Genomic DNA, 13,180 nt, shown 5'->3' with positions numbered 1-13,180 from the left:
AACATGGCTTGTATTCCCAGAAAATTGGAAAACCCCACCAAAAATAAAAATAAAGATCAATAAGAAAATTTGGTAAGAGGATTGATACAAGAAAAATACACAAAAATCAAAAACTTTCCTCAAACCTAGTAATGTATCTTGTTCATGTTTTGATAAAATTATAAGATATTGGCTGGCTGGGCGCAGTGGCTCACGACCGTAATCCCAGCACTTTGGGAGGCTGAGGCAGGTGGACCACTTTCGACCACGAGTTTGAGGCCACCTGGGCTGCATGGCAAAACCCTGTCTCTACAAAAAACTTTAAAAATTAGCCGGAGCCAGGTGCAGTGGCTCACGTCTGTAATCCTAGCACTTTGGGAGGCTGAGGTGGGCGAATCACTTGAGGTCAGAAGTTCGAAAACAGCCTAGCCAACAAGGTGAAACCTCATCTCTACTAAAAATACAAACATTAGGCCGGGCGCGGTGGCTCACACCTGTAATCCCAGCACTTCGGGAGGCCAAAGCAGGCAGATCACAAGGTCAGGAGATCAAGACCATCCTGGCTAACACGGTGAAACCCCGTCTACTAAAAATACAAAAATTAGCCGGGTGTGATGGCACGTGCCTGTAATCCCAGCTACTCAGGAGTCTGAGGCAGGAGGCTGAGGCAGGAGAATTGCTTGAACCCAGGAGGCAGAGGCTGCAGTGAGCCGAGATCGCGCCACTGCACTCCAGCCTGGGCAACAGGGCAAAACTCCGTCTCAAAAAAAGAAAAAAATGCATCAAGCTGTCCACCTTCGTGCATTTTTCTGTATGTATGAGAAATTTCAAAATAAAGTCTGTTTGTTTGTTTGAGATGGAGTATTGCTTTGTCGCCCAGGCTGGAGTGCAGTGGCTTGATCTCGGCTCACTGCAACCTCCACCTCCCGGGTTCAAGCAGTTCTCTCACCTTAGCCTCCCAAGTAGCTGGGATTACAGGCACACGACACCACACCTGGCTAATTTATTTTTTATTCTTTATTATTATTATTATTATTATTATTGGTAGAGACAAGGTCTTGCTCTGTTACCCAGGCTGGTCTTGAATTACTGGCCTCAAGCAATCCTCCTACCTCGGCCTCCCAAAGTGTTGGGATTACTGATGTGAGCTAACTCACTCTCAGACAGAAGTTTTTAAAACCATGAATAATGACGGGGAAAGACACTTAACCATAGGTAATTCCCCAAATCTCGACCAGACCAAACTACTGGGATCCTGAGCGCTGGGGTTGCAGGTTGTGGGTCGTGGGTTGTGGGTCATGGGTTCGACCACTCACCTCCCACGCCCGTCTTCTGCTGTGAGATGTAGGACTCCAGGCGCAAGCGGAAGCGGTTCTCGCCCCCCAGGCAGCCGTGTGTGCCGTCGTCCACCAGGAAGAAGGCCGAGTAGTTGTAGTCCAGGGGAAACTGGACCCCGTCCTCCGGGTCACCGCGCCACCGGTACCTCGCAGGGAACGAGCCCTAGGGGAAAAATGGCCAGACCAGGGCGTCTCCTCATCGGGGCCAGAAGGACAAACACGAGCCCCTCCTCCTCCCTCAGACCCAGGAGTCCAGGCCTCCAGCCCCCTTTTCCAAGTCCCTGGGTCACACCTTGGGGTTGATGAGGGTGTCTCTATTCCGGACCACACCCCAGGGGGCCACACCCATGGCCACCACCTTGGTGCCCCCAGTGCTGGCCATCTGATGGTCCCGTACAGCCACACCAACATGCCGGCCGATGCCCGTGTGCAGACCCCCAGTGACAATCCAGGCTCCTACACAGACGCCGAGGAACATGCAGAGGCAGGGGGAGAGAAACAAAGAATAAGACAGAGACACACACACACACTGGGCGGCGGGGGAGGCCACCCACAGTCGTGGGGGAGATGGCAGGCAGGCCGAGGCCCAGGAGACAGCCCCCACCCACCCTCGGTCACCTGTGCTCTGGGCAGCCCGCACCAGCCCACGACGCAGCAGGTCCTGCAGCCAGGTCTGGAGGACGGGGCCCCCCGATCCCCCCAGCACTGACACCACCAGGTTCGGGGCACGGAAGCCCCATGTGCGTGTGACCAGACTATAAACTGCAGCTGGATCCGTTCGGTCAGAGAGCCGGAGGAACTGTGGACACATGGGAGCGGGGCACACAGGGAGGGGGACAGAGACCCAGAGAGACGGGGACAGAGACCCAGAGAGACGGGGACAGAGACCCAGAGAGACGGGGACAGAGACCCAGAGAGAGAGGGACAGAGACCCAGAGAGATGGGGACAGAGACCCAGAGAGAGAGGGACAGAGACCCAGAGAGAGAGGGACAGAGACCCAGAGAGATGGGGACAGAGACCCAGAGAGAGAGGGACAGAGACCCAGAGACATGGGACAGAGACCCAGAGAGAGAGGGACAGAGACCCAGAGACATGGGACAGAGACCCAGAGAGATGGGACAGAGACCCAGAGAGAGAGGGACAGAGACCCAGAGAGACGGGGACAGAGACCCAGAGAGACGGGGACAAAGACCCAGAGAGAGAGGGACAGAGACCCAGAGAGAGAGGGACAGAGACCCAGAGAGATGGCGACAGAGACCCAGAGAGAGAGGGACAGAGACCCAGAGAGATGGGGACAGAAACCCAGAGTAAAGGGGAAACAGAGACCCGGAGAGACGGGGACAGAGACCCAGAGAGAGAGGGACAGAGACCCAGAGAGATGGGGACAGAAACCCAGAGTAAAGGGGAAACAGAGACCCGGAGAGACGGGGACAGAGACCCAGAGAGAGAGGGACAGAGACCCAGAGAGAGAGGGACAGAGACCCAGAGAGAGAGGGACAGAGACCCAGAGAGAGAGGGACAGAGACCCAGAGACATGGGACAGAGACCCAGAGAGATGGCGACAGAGACCCAGAGAGAGAGGGACAGAGACCCAGAGAGAGAGGGACAGAGACCCAGAGAGAGAGGGACAGAGACCCAGAGAGATGGGGACAGAAACCCAGAGTAAAGGGGAAACAGAGACCCGGAGAGACGGGGACAGAGACCCGGAGAAACAGGGACAGAGACCCAGAGAGACAAGGACAGAGACCCAGAGAAAAGGGGAAACAGAGACCCGGAGAGACAGGGACGGAGACCCGGAGAAACAGACAGAGACCCAGAGAGATGGGGACAGAGACCCAGAGAGAGGGGGAAACAGACCCAGAGAGAGGAAGACAGAGACCCAGAGAGACGGGGACAGAGACACAGAGAAAAGGGGAAACAGAGGCCCAGAGAGACAGAGACAGAGACCCAGAGAGACAGAGACAGAGACCCAGAGAGACGGGGACAGAGACACAGAGAAAAGCGGAAACACAGACCCAAAGAGATGAGGACAGTGACCCACAGAAAAGGGGAAACAGAGACCCGGAGAGACGGGGACAGAGACCCAGAGAGAGAGGGGGACAGAGACCCAGAGAGAGAGGGGGACAGAGACCCAGAGAGAGAGGGGGACAGAGACCCAGAGAGAGAGGGGGACAGAGACCCAGAGAGAGAGGGGGACAGAGACCCAGAGAGAGAGGGGGACAGAGACCCAGAGAGAGAGGGGGACAGAGACCCAGAGAGAGAGGGGGACAGAGACCCAGAGAGAGAGGGACACGGAGACAGAGGGAGACAGAGACAAAGAGACGCAGAGAGAACGGGACCCCCTCAGAGAGAAGATAGGTGGGGCGGAGGGGACAAAGAGAGCCAAGACAGGGATGGGCGGAGGGGCCAGGGTTCAGGGCGGGCGTCCCGGCTCCACTCTGGAGCCCCGAGCATGCAGCCCCCTGGTGCCCGGGCCCCGCCCACAGAGGCCCGCCTCACATTGCTGTGCTTGCGGCCGGCCCCCGTGAAGTCCAGCTCTCCGTAGGCATCGGTGGGCTTCTCCGTGGTGTGTGCATCGCTGTCCCACACGGTCACCACGGCTGCCCCGAAGGCATCCTCCATGGCCACTGCGGGGTGGGCGGTCCGGGGGCGCCCACACTGGCACAAGGTCCCTCTGGGGGTGCGAGGGCGGAGCGTGAACCCAGGGCTGCCCCCCGACCCCAGCACCCTGTCAGCGTGTTCATGCTCCTGTAGAGGGGGCTGTCGACACTGAGTCCACACCCACAGAGGCAGGCAGAGTCCACGCTGCCCCTGGCCCTGGCTCTGACGGCCTCGGGGAGAGACTGGAGCCGAGGACGGTCCCCTTTCCCCACGGGAAGGAAGCCAGTGAGTCCAGAAAGCCTGAGCAGGAAGAAGCAGGTCACTGTCACCTGAGGAGCCTCAAGTGGGAAGGCAGAGGGCCACTGGGGGTATCCTTGCTGTGCCCTGTGCCCCCATCCAAACACATGACGTTCAACACGAGAAAGAACATCCAGCGGGTAACTCAGGGAGAGCCCGCATGCTCGGGGCTGACGCGGCTGTGTGACTTTGGGCGAGCGGCTTCACCTCTCTGAGCCTAAATTTCCTCCTCTAATGAAAAGACAATAATAGCGCGGCCTACTCCACGGAGCTATGAGGAGCCAGGGAAAGAACGCCGTGTTTCCTGAAATGAGGCTCGCATACCAGTCCCAGCCAGAGGCAACGCGACACGAACTTCACACGGAGCTTAAAATAACCTTGAATAACGCAGTGAGAAAGTCATTCCTTTTTCAGTTCTCCTGACGACTGTCAAGGAGAGAGGCTCAGCCGGGTGCTAGAATATTTTTGAATGCCTAACCCTTTGCTACTCTTTTGAACAAGAAAAGCAGGCCTCGGGCTCAAAAAATGGAGCTGGCAACAGCCATCTAGCGAGTAGGGAAACACCTTTGTTTGCTTTTCATTGTCTTTGGCTTCTGTGTGGCTTGTTTCTTCCTCTCTGTGCCAAATGGAACAGGTTTCCATTTGGAAAGTTTCCACATATAAAACTTTCCCCCACCTAAAGAAATGCACAAGTCTCTCTTGCTTTCTAAAGGTGATTGGCACCTGAGTAAGTAACAGGGGTTTGGAGAATGAGAAATTCATTTGAAAATGTAGGGTCGGGTATGATGGCTCATGCCTGTAATCCTAGCACTTTGGGAGGCTGGGGCCAGAGGATCACCTGAACCCAGGAGTTCGAGACCAGCTGTGCAATATAGTCAGACCCTGTCTCTAAAAATAAATAAATAAATAAAATAAAATAAAATAAAATTAGCCAGGTGTGGCAGCATGTGCTTAGGAGGCTGAGGCAGGAGGATCACTTCAGCCTGGGAGATCAAGGCTGCAGTGATGCAGAGAGCTGTGACCACGCCACTGCACTCCAACCTGGGCAACAGAGTGAGACCCTGTTCAAAAAAAAGAAAAGAAGGAAAGAAAAGCAAGCAAGCAAGCAAGCAAGCAAGCAAGCAAGCAAGCAAGAGGCCGGGCGCAGTGGCTCATGCCTGTAATCCCAGCACTTTGGGAGGCTGAGGCGGGTGGATCATCTGAGGTCAAGAGTTTGAGACCAGACTGGCCAACATGGTGAAACACTGTCTGTACTAAAAAAAATACAAAAATTAGCTGGTCGTGGTGGCGGGTGCCTGTAATCCCAGCTACTCAGAAGGCTGAGGCAGGAGAATTGGTTGAACCCAGGAGGCAGAAGTTGCAGTGAGCCATCACACTATTGTACTCCAGCCTGGGAGACAAGAGCGAAACTCCATCTCAAAAAAAAAAAAAAAAAAAAAAAAAAAAAAAAAACTAAGGAAAGAAAGGAAGGAGGGAGGGAGAGAGACAGAGAGGGAGGAAGGAAAGGAAGGAAGGAAGGAAGGGAGGGAGGGAGGGAGGGAAAGAGAGAGAAAGAAAGAGAAAGAGAGAAAGAAAGAAAGAGAGAGAGAAAAGAAAAGAAAAGAAAGAGAAAGGAAGAAAGAAGGAGAAAAATGTATCTAAATTCTTTGTTCCAGATTCCAGGAGTTCAGATATCAGGGGAGACCTGTATTTACACAAACCTAGTGAGCAGATTTAAGAGCAATTTTACAGAAGGGATAGCAGAGGTGCTACAAGGATTTGGCAAAAGCCGTAAAGACACTAAAAGAACGGCTAACTGATCCACACATGGGATGAACCAAACACACTTAGGCCAGGTCCTGGCACAGTGAGAACTACAATAAAGTGTCTTCTTCATTCCTGAGTCTACCTCCAGGGCCCTGGCATGCCTCAGTTTACCGACTTTGTCCGTTCACCCATTTCAGCTCCATCCTTGAATCCCCTAGTTCCCCTGCAGCTACTTCCAACACCTGCAGCTACTTCCCAGAAAGTTTGCTCTTCTGAGCAAAACTTCAAGGACGGCTGGGCACAATCCAAGCACTTTGGGAGGTCAAGGCAGAAGGACTGCTTGAGCCCAGGAGTTTGAGAACAGCCTGGGCAATAGAGCGAGACCCCATCCCTACAAAAAAAATTGTTTTAATTAGCCAGGTGTGGTGGTGCACGCCTGTGGTTCCAGCTACTCAGGAGGCTGTAGCAGGAGGATCACTTGAGCTCAGGAGTTCAAGGCTGCAATAAGCCATGATCACACCACTGCAGTTCAGGCTAGGCAACAGAGCAAGACCATGTCACTAAAAATAAGAAATAAGGCCGGGCATGGTGGCTCATGACTGTAATCCCAGCACTTTGGGAGGCCAAGGCGGGCGGATCATGAGGTCAGGAGTTCGAGACCAGCCTGGCCAACATAGTGAAACCTTATCTCTACTAAAAATACAAAAATTAGCCGGGCATGGTGGTACGCGCCTGTAGTCCCAGCTACTCAGGAGGCTGAGGCAGGAGAATCACTTGAACCTGGGAGACGGAGGTTGTGATGAGCAGAGATTGTGCCACTGCACTCCAGCCTGGGCAACAGAATGAGACTCTGCCTCAAAAAAAAAAAAAAATAATAATAATAAAATAAAAGCTCTTCACGGAATAGTCTGGAGCTTGTACTGTCCAATGTGATAGCTGCATGGGTTCTTTGTAGCCATGGAGCTCTTTCTGTTCTAATAAGTTAAAATTAAATCAAATAAAAAATTCAGGTCAAGTGCAGTGGTTCATGCCTGTAATCCCAGAACTTAGGGAGGCCAAGGTGGGCGGATCACCTGAGGTCAGGACTTTGAGACCAGCCTGGCCAACATGGTGAAACCCTGTTTCTACTAAAAATACAAAAATCAGCTTGGCATGGTGGCGGGTGCCTGTAGTCCCAGCTACTCGGGAGGCTGAGGCAGGAGAATGGCATGAACCCGGGAGGCGGAGGTTGCAGTGAGCCAAGATTGCACCACTGCACTCCAGCCTGGGCGACAGAGCGAGACTCCACCTCAAAAAAAAATTCAGTTTCTCAGGTACAATGGCCATATTCCAAGTGCCCAGTAGCCCCCTGTGGCCAGGACTGCCATATTGGATGTAGACATAGAACGTTTCCAAAATCGTGGAAAATTCTGACATTCAGTGCTAGGAGCCATTCCTTCTGCACAGCTTGCCTCCTACACTCTTTCCTCGGTGGAGCCACAGAAACTGAAATAAATTGTTTTTTTGTTTGTTTGTTTGTTTTGTTTTGTTTTGAGATGGAGTCTCGCTCTGTCTCCCAGGCTAGAATGCAGTGGTACGATCTCAGCTCACTGCAACCTCTGCCACCTGGGCTCAAGCGACTCTCGTGCCTCAGCATCCTGAGTAGCTGGGATTACAGGCATGTGCCACAGTACCTGGCTAGTTTTTGTATTTTTAGTAGAGATGGGGTTTTACCACATTGGCCAGGCTGGTCTCAAACTCCTGACCTCAAGTGATCAGCCCACCTCGGCCTCTCAAACTGCTGGGATTACAGCTGTGAGTCACTGTGCCTGGCCTGAAATTGTTCTTGATAAAAATCATCAATTTCCTGCCTGGCTCCATATACAACGGCCCTTATTCAGGTTTCATCTGACTGTATCACAAGTGGCCCTGGCTACAGCTGAAAGGCTCTCATTCTGGAAACCCTCTCCTTGGCAGGATACCCCTGCCCCTCTGGCCTTCCTCCCCGCCCCGGCTGCTTCATGCCTGACTTGTTTGTGGCTTTCTCTTGCTTTTCACCTCCCTTGAGTGTAGGTGTTCCCAGTGCAAGCCTTCCCTACATGATTCTCAAACCCAATGTGTGCAGAGGCCAGTCAAGTAACTCAACAGAAAGAAGTAGCCAGGGCCAGGAGCAGTGGCTCACACCTGTAATCCCAGCACGTTGGGAGGCCCAGGTGGGCAGATCACTTGAGGTCAGGAGTTCGAGATCAGCCTGGCCAACATGGTGAAACCTTGTCTCTACTAAAAGTACAAAAATTAGCCAGGCGTGATGGTGGGTGCCTGTAATCCCAGCTACTCGGGGGGCTGAGGCAGGAGAATCGCTTGAACCCAGGAGGCAGAGGTTGAAGTGAGCCGAGATCGCACTACTGCACTCCAGCCTGGGTGATAGAGCGAGACTCCGTCTCAAAAAAAAAAAAGAGGTAGCCGGGTATGGTGGCTCTCGCCTGTAATTCCAGCACTTTGGCAGGCAGAGTGAGGTGGGAGGCTCACTTGAGTCCAGGAGTTGGATACCAGCCTGGTCTGGTATCAAAGGGAGACCCGGTTTCTACAAAAAATTTTAAAATTAGCCAGGCATGGTGGTGCATGCCTGTGGTCCCAGCTACTCCGGAGGCTCATGTGGGAGGATCGCTTGAGCCCAGCAGGTCAAGGCTGCAGTGAACCATGATCGTGCCACTCCAGCCTGGACAACAGAGCAAGACCCTGTCTCAAAAAAAAAAAAAAAAAAAAAAGAGAGAGAGACAGAAGACAGATATTTTTAAATGCTCTTCTAAACACACACACACACAAACACACGCACACAATTGGCTATAGAATTGCCAGTTTGCAACTCCCCTGACTTTACACGTTGTTTTCCCTGTGACGTCTTACCTACTTCCAGTTTCAATTACCAGCTACAACTCGGACCTCTCAGATTCTGGACATTAGTCCAGACCTTTCCCAATCTCAGTCCCCACATGCCCCTCGGTCCCCCTAGGCCGCTCATATGCACAGATTCCCACATTGCACTCAGCGACATTTCCCAAACCTGCTTGCCCTCCTGAGCTCTCCATCTCAGGGACAGCCCCACTGTGTCCCAGTCAGCAGAGCATACGTCCCGGAGCCATCCACCGATGGCGGCACCCCCTCTCTCCCTCATCACCCTCATCAAGCCCCAAGCTCTGCCTTCCTGCCCCCTGAGTCTTTGCCCCATGCCCTCCTCTCTGTGTCCCGAAAGCCCTGACCTGGCTCAGGCCACTACCCCTCCCGCTCAGACGCTCTCTACAGCCTCCTCCCGAGCTCCTGTTCATCCTCTCCCAGCCCCAGAAAGTTTTTCCACACCCAGAGCCAACCCCACTGCTGCGGTGATGCCCCAGCTCCCAAGGACAAGATCCCAGCCCCTTAGGGTGGCCTCTGACACCCTGCAAGCTCTGGCCCTGCCCTCCTCTGCAGCCTCTTCTCTCATGACAGTGCTCCCTGCACCCTGAACTTTGATTCATATTCAAGCCAAACCATATGGTCCTTAGCAAGGACTTTGCACATGCTGTTCAAATCACTTTTTTCTTTCTTTCTTTCTTTTTTTTTTTTTTTTTGAGATGGAGTCTTGCTCTGTCACCCAGGCTGGAGTGCAGTGACGTGATCTCTGCTCATAGTAGCCTCCGTCTCCCAGGTTTAAGTGATTCTCCTGCCTCCTGAGTAGCTGGGATTACAGGCATGCGCCAATACGCCCAGTTAATTTTTGTATTTTTAGTAGAGATAGGGTTGCACCATGTTAGCCAAGCTGGTCTCGAACTCCTGACTTAGGTGATCCACCCGCCTCGGCCTCCCAGATTGTTGGGATGACAGGCGTGAGCCACAATGCCCGGCCCCAAATCGCTTTCCATGGGCCTCTCTCCAGCTCACTTTCAAATGTCACCTCACTAGCCACTCTTCCTCCCTCCAGAAACCATTAGTGACATTTTGTGTCCCCTCCCAGTCTTAAGCAAACACCTCCTCCCAGCTCTCACAGAGCCCAGTGGCTCGTCTTTGGGAGCTGCAACCCCTTGCCTTACTATAATTATCTTCTGCGTTTCTTCCTCCTCAGGCCAGACCAGAGTTTCCTAAATTGTCTTGACCACACTGACCTATCAGTAAAAAGGTTTTGAGCACTCACGTCCAACAAGCGCATATCTGTTTATTTATCCATCATTTACAAGCCATACTGCACTAATATATAGTCATAACAAAATACACACTGAAGTAGGAATGTGGATACTTCCCGCACCCCAAAAACTGTCTTGAAAAACAACTAGAGGGCTGGGCGCGGTGGCTCACACCTGTAATCCCAGTACTTTGGAAAGCCAAGGCAGGTGCATTGCCTGAGATCAAGAGTTCAAGACCAACCTGGGCAACAGGGTGAAATCCCGTCTCTACTAAAATACAAAAAATTAGCTGGGCATGGTGGTAGGCACCTGTAATCCCAGCTACTAGGGAGGCTGAGGCATGAGAACTGCTTGAACCCAGGAGGTGGATGTTGCAGTGAGCTGATATCGCAACACTGCACTCCAGCCTGGGCGACAGAGCCAGACTCTGTCTCAAAAAAACAAAAAACAAAAAACTAGAAAGCCTGGGCCAGGTGCGGTGGCTCACACCTGTAATCCTAGCGCTTTGGGAGGCCGAGGCCGGCGGATCATGAGGTCAGGAGATCGAGACCATCTGGCTAACACGGTGCAACCCCGTCTCTACTAAAAAAAAAATACAAAAAATTGGCCCAGCGCGATGGCTCACGCCTGTAATCCCAGTACTTTGAGGGGCTGAGGCGGGCGGATCACAAGGTCAGGAGATCGAGATCATCCTGGCCAACACGGTGAAACCCCGTCTCTACTAAAATACAAAAAATTAGCCGGGCGTGGTGGCGGGCGCCTGTAGTCCCAGCTACTCGGGAGGCTGAGGCAGGAAAACGGCGTGAACCCGGGAGGCGGAGCTTGCAGTGAGCCGAGATCGCGCCACTGCACTCCAGCCTGGGGGACAGAGCGAGACACCGTCTCAAAAAAAAAAAAAAAAAAAAAAAAACTAGAAAGCCTGGATCCGCTTGAGAGGCCGTCACTGAAGGGCGGGAGCTCCTCGCGGACGCACACACCCTATCTAGCTCAATTGGTGTCCCCGGCCACCAAGACAGGGCCCGCCCGCGGTAATAATTGCCACCTCCCAGTGGGAGCTGCAGATATTTCCCAGCGTCCTGTGCTGGGCGCTGTGCCAGGAATATCACAAGCATTAACTTGTTTAATTCTCATAATAACCCCAGGAGATCAAGCCTCTTTTGATGCCCAGATGAGAAACGGGACCCAGAGAGGTGAAATGATTTGCCCGAAGCCACACAGCACGTGTCCCAGGGGAAATTGGAACCCTGGCAGGGCCGTTGAATTAGGCTAAAGGGACCTTGGGAGCGCTGAGTGAGGGTTTCTTGCATGGATGGATGAATGAATGAATGAATGAATGAATGAATGAATGAAACAGAAATACCCAAAAGGGAAAGACAGAGACACAGAAAGTGACACGAAGAGACAGAAGCACATAGAAGAGACATCGGGGAGGAAAGAAGCAGAACCGAGCCCTGGAGCGTCTACACTGACCCTGAGCGGGAGAATGGCGAATGGGGAATGAGGGGTGTCTACACAGACCCAAACGCTCCTAGAGGGAGAGCGTCGGCAAGGAACGCCCTTGGGAAGGTCCCCGAGTCCAGGAATGGGGAAGGAGCAGGGCTGGGGCGTGACCATCCGCGGGCGGGGTCAGCGGGCCGCGGACCCTCTGGGGTCAGTCCAGGGGCGAACTCCTCACCCCGGATCTGTGGAGTCAACTATGAACGTCGTGCAGGTCTTCTTCTTGAAGATCTTGGGGATCCAGCTCTGGGGACAGGAACAAATGTAGGGGTGGAAGTGGGGTGAGAGGGCACCCAGTTCTGTCCTATGGGACACAGAGCCACCCACCCCGTGCGCTCCCCACGGACACAGGAGTCCGGGCCCCCAGCGCCCTCCCGCTCCAGACTCAGGAGTCTCGACCCCCATGCCCTGGACCCTGGAACCTGGACCCTCCCATCCCCCTCCTCCGTCTGACCCAGGAATCTGGGTGTCCAGCGCCCTCCTCTCTGGGAGCCTGGAGGCGAGGTCCCCAGCTCCGCGCTCCCGCAGACCCTGGTCCGGCGCTCACCTGCTCCTTCTCCGGCACCACCATGCTGCCGCGGCCGCCGCAACCTCCTGCAGCCCAGGGCCCCGGCGCTCCCTCCGCCGGCTCTGCTTCCAGACCCGCCCAGAGCAAACCGGATCCTCCACTTTCCAGCCTAGCCTGGGGCGGGGCGAGGTCTGGGGGGCGGGGAGTCTTGGAGACGCCAAAGCGGGAGGCGGGGAGAGGGCGGGTCCCAGGCCGCGATAAGGGGACAGAGGGACAGCGACCTGGGGGGTGCAGAGGTCCGGGCCGGGGGGAGAGAGACACACAGGGGAGACTCCAAGGGCAAGCGCGAGATGGGAACAGAAGGAGTTGGGGGCCAGTGGCGGAGAGGGAACAGACTCAGAAAGGAGGATGCCAGACAGGGAGGGGACAATTTAACCCAAAGAGGGGGAGACAAAGACTTAGGGGACAGAGAATCAGAAGGTGGGGCAGCAGGGACCCAGGGATAGACAGAGAGAGAGGGGGACAGAGACCCACAGAGAGAGGGGGACAGAGACCCAGGGAGAGGGGACAGAGACCCAGAGAGAGTGGGACAGAGACCCAGAGAGAGTGGGACAGAGACCCACAGAGAGAGGGGGACAGAGACCCAGGGAGAGGAGGACAGAGACCCAGAGAGGGGGGGACAGAGACCCAGAGAGGGGGGGACAGAGACCCAGGGAGGGGGGGACAGAGACCCAGGGAGAGGGGACAGAGACCCACGGAGAGGGGGACAGAGACCCAGGGAGAGGGGACAGAGACCCAGAGAGAGGGGGACAGAGACCCAGAGAGAGGGGGACAGAGACCCAGAGAGACGGGGACAGAGACCCAGAGAGAGGGGGACAGAGACCCAGAGAGAGGGGAACAGAGACCCAGAGAGAGAGGAGGACAGAGACCCAGAGAGAGGGGGACAGAGACCCAGAGAGACGGGGACAGAGACCCAGAGAGAGGGGGACAGAGACCCAGAGAGAGGGGAACAGAGACCCAGAGAGAGAGGAGGACAGAGACCCAGAGAGAGGGGGACAGAGACCCAGAGAGGGGGGGA

General features: G+C 54.4%; 1 protein-coding gene across 7 annotated transcripts in view, besides 4 other annotated features; it reads right to left on the bottom strand.

Moving 5' to 3' along the window:
* Positions 1-12,240, bottom strand: part of TRPM4 (transient receptor potential cation channel subfamily M member 4) — a 54,045-nt gene extending 41,805 nt beyond the window's left edge. For 2 of the 7 annotated variants that reach the window (NM_017636.4, NM_001195227.2), the window contains exons 1-6: positions 12,142-12,240; positions 11,773-11,840; positions 3,817-3,991; positions 1,935-2,115; positions 1,609-1,772; positions 1,296-1,479 (exon numbers count right to left, since the gene is read on the bottom strand). In NM_017636.4, the coding sequence (NP_060106.2) occupies positions 1,296-1,479; positions 1,609-1,772; positions 1,935-2,115; positions 3,817-3,991; positions 11,773-11,840; positions 12,142-12,165 (796 nt within the window). In that variant the 5' untranslated portion in view covers positions 12,166-12,240. The other 5 variants (NM_001321282.2, NM_001321281.2, NM_001321283.2 and 2 more) reach the window with 5 other exon arrangements.
* Positions 3,419-4,061: an enhancer, noted in NCBI's record as "H3K27ac-H3K4me1 hESC enhancer chr19:49669228-49669870 (GRCh37/hg19 assembly coordinates)". NCBI's record gives its function as "activates a minimal SCP1, AML or CMV promoter by ChIP-STARR-seq in primed H9 embryonic stem cells {active_cell/tissue: H9 hESC(primed)}" and the evidence as "EXISTENCE:reporter gene assay evidence [ECO:0000049][PMID:30033119]".
* Positions 4,062-4,705: an enhancer, noted in NCBI's record as "H3K27ac-H3K4me1 hESC enhancer chr19:49668584-49669227 (GRCh37/hg19 assembly coordinates)". NCBI's record gives its function as "activates a minimal SCP1, AML or CMV promoter by ChIP-STARR-seq in primed H9 embryonic stem cells {active_cell/tissue: H9 hESC(primed)}" and the evidence as "EXISTENCE:reporter gene assay evidence [ECO:0000049][PMID:30033119]".
* Positions 11,015-11,201: a silencer, noted in NCBI's record as "fragment chr19:49662088-49662274 (GRCh37/hg19 assembly coordinates)". NCBI's record gives its function as "represses an EF-1alpha promoter that drives an FKBP-Casp9 reporter gene in an ReSE screen in phorbol 12-myristate 13-acetate-treated (for megakaryocytic differentiation) K562 erythroleukemia cells {active_cell/tissue: K562(+PMA)}" and the evidence as "EXISTENCE:reporter gene assay evidence [ECO:0000049][PMID:32094911]".
* Positions 11,885-12,506: an enhancer, noted in NCBI's record as "H3K4me1 hESC enhancer chr19:49660783-49661404 (GRCh37/hg19 assembly coordinates)". NCBI's record gives its function as "activates a minimal SCP1, AML or CMV promoter by ChIP-STARR-seq in primed H9 embryonic stem cells {active_cell/tissue: H9 hESC(primed)}" and the evidence as "EXISTENCE:reporter gene assay evidence [ECO:0000049][PMID:30033119]".

This window comes from Homo sapiens, chromosome 19, assembly GCF_000001405.40.
Source record: "Homo sapiens chromosome 19, GRCh38.p14 Primary Assembly".
Taxonomy (NCBI): Eukaryota; Metazoa; Chordata; class Mammalia; order Primates; family Hominidae; genus Homo; species Homo sapiens.
This window is presented reverse-complemented; position numbering and strand designations above follow the sequence as displayed.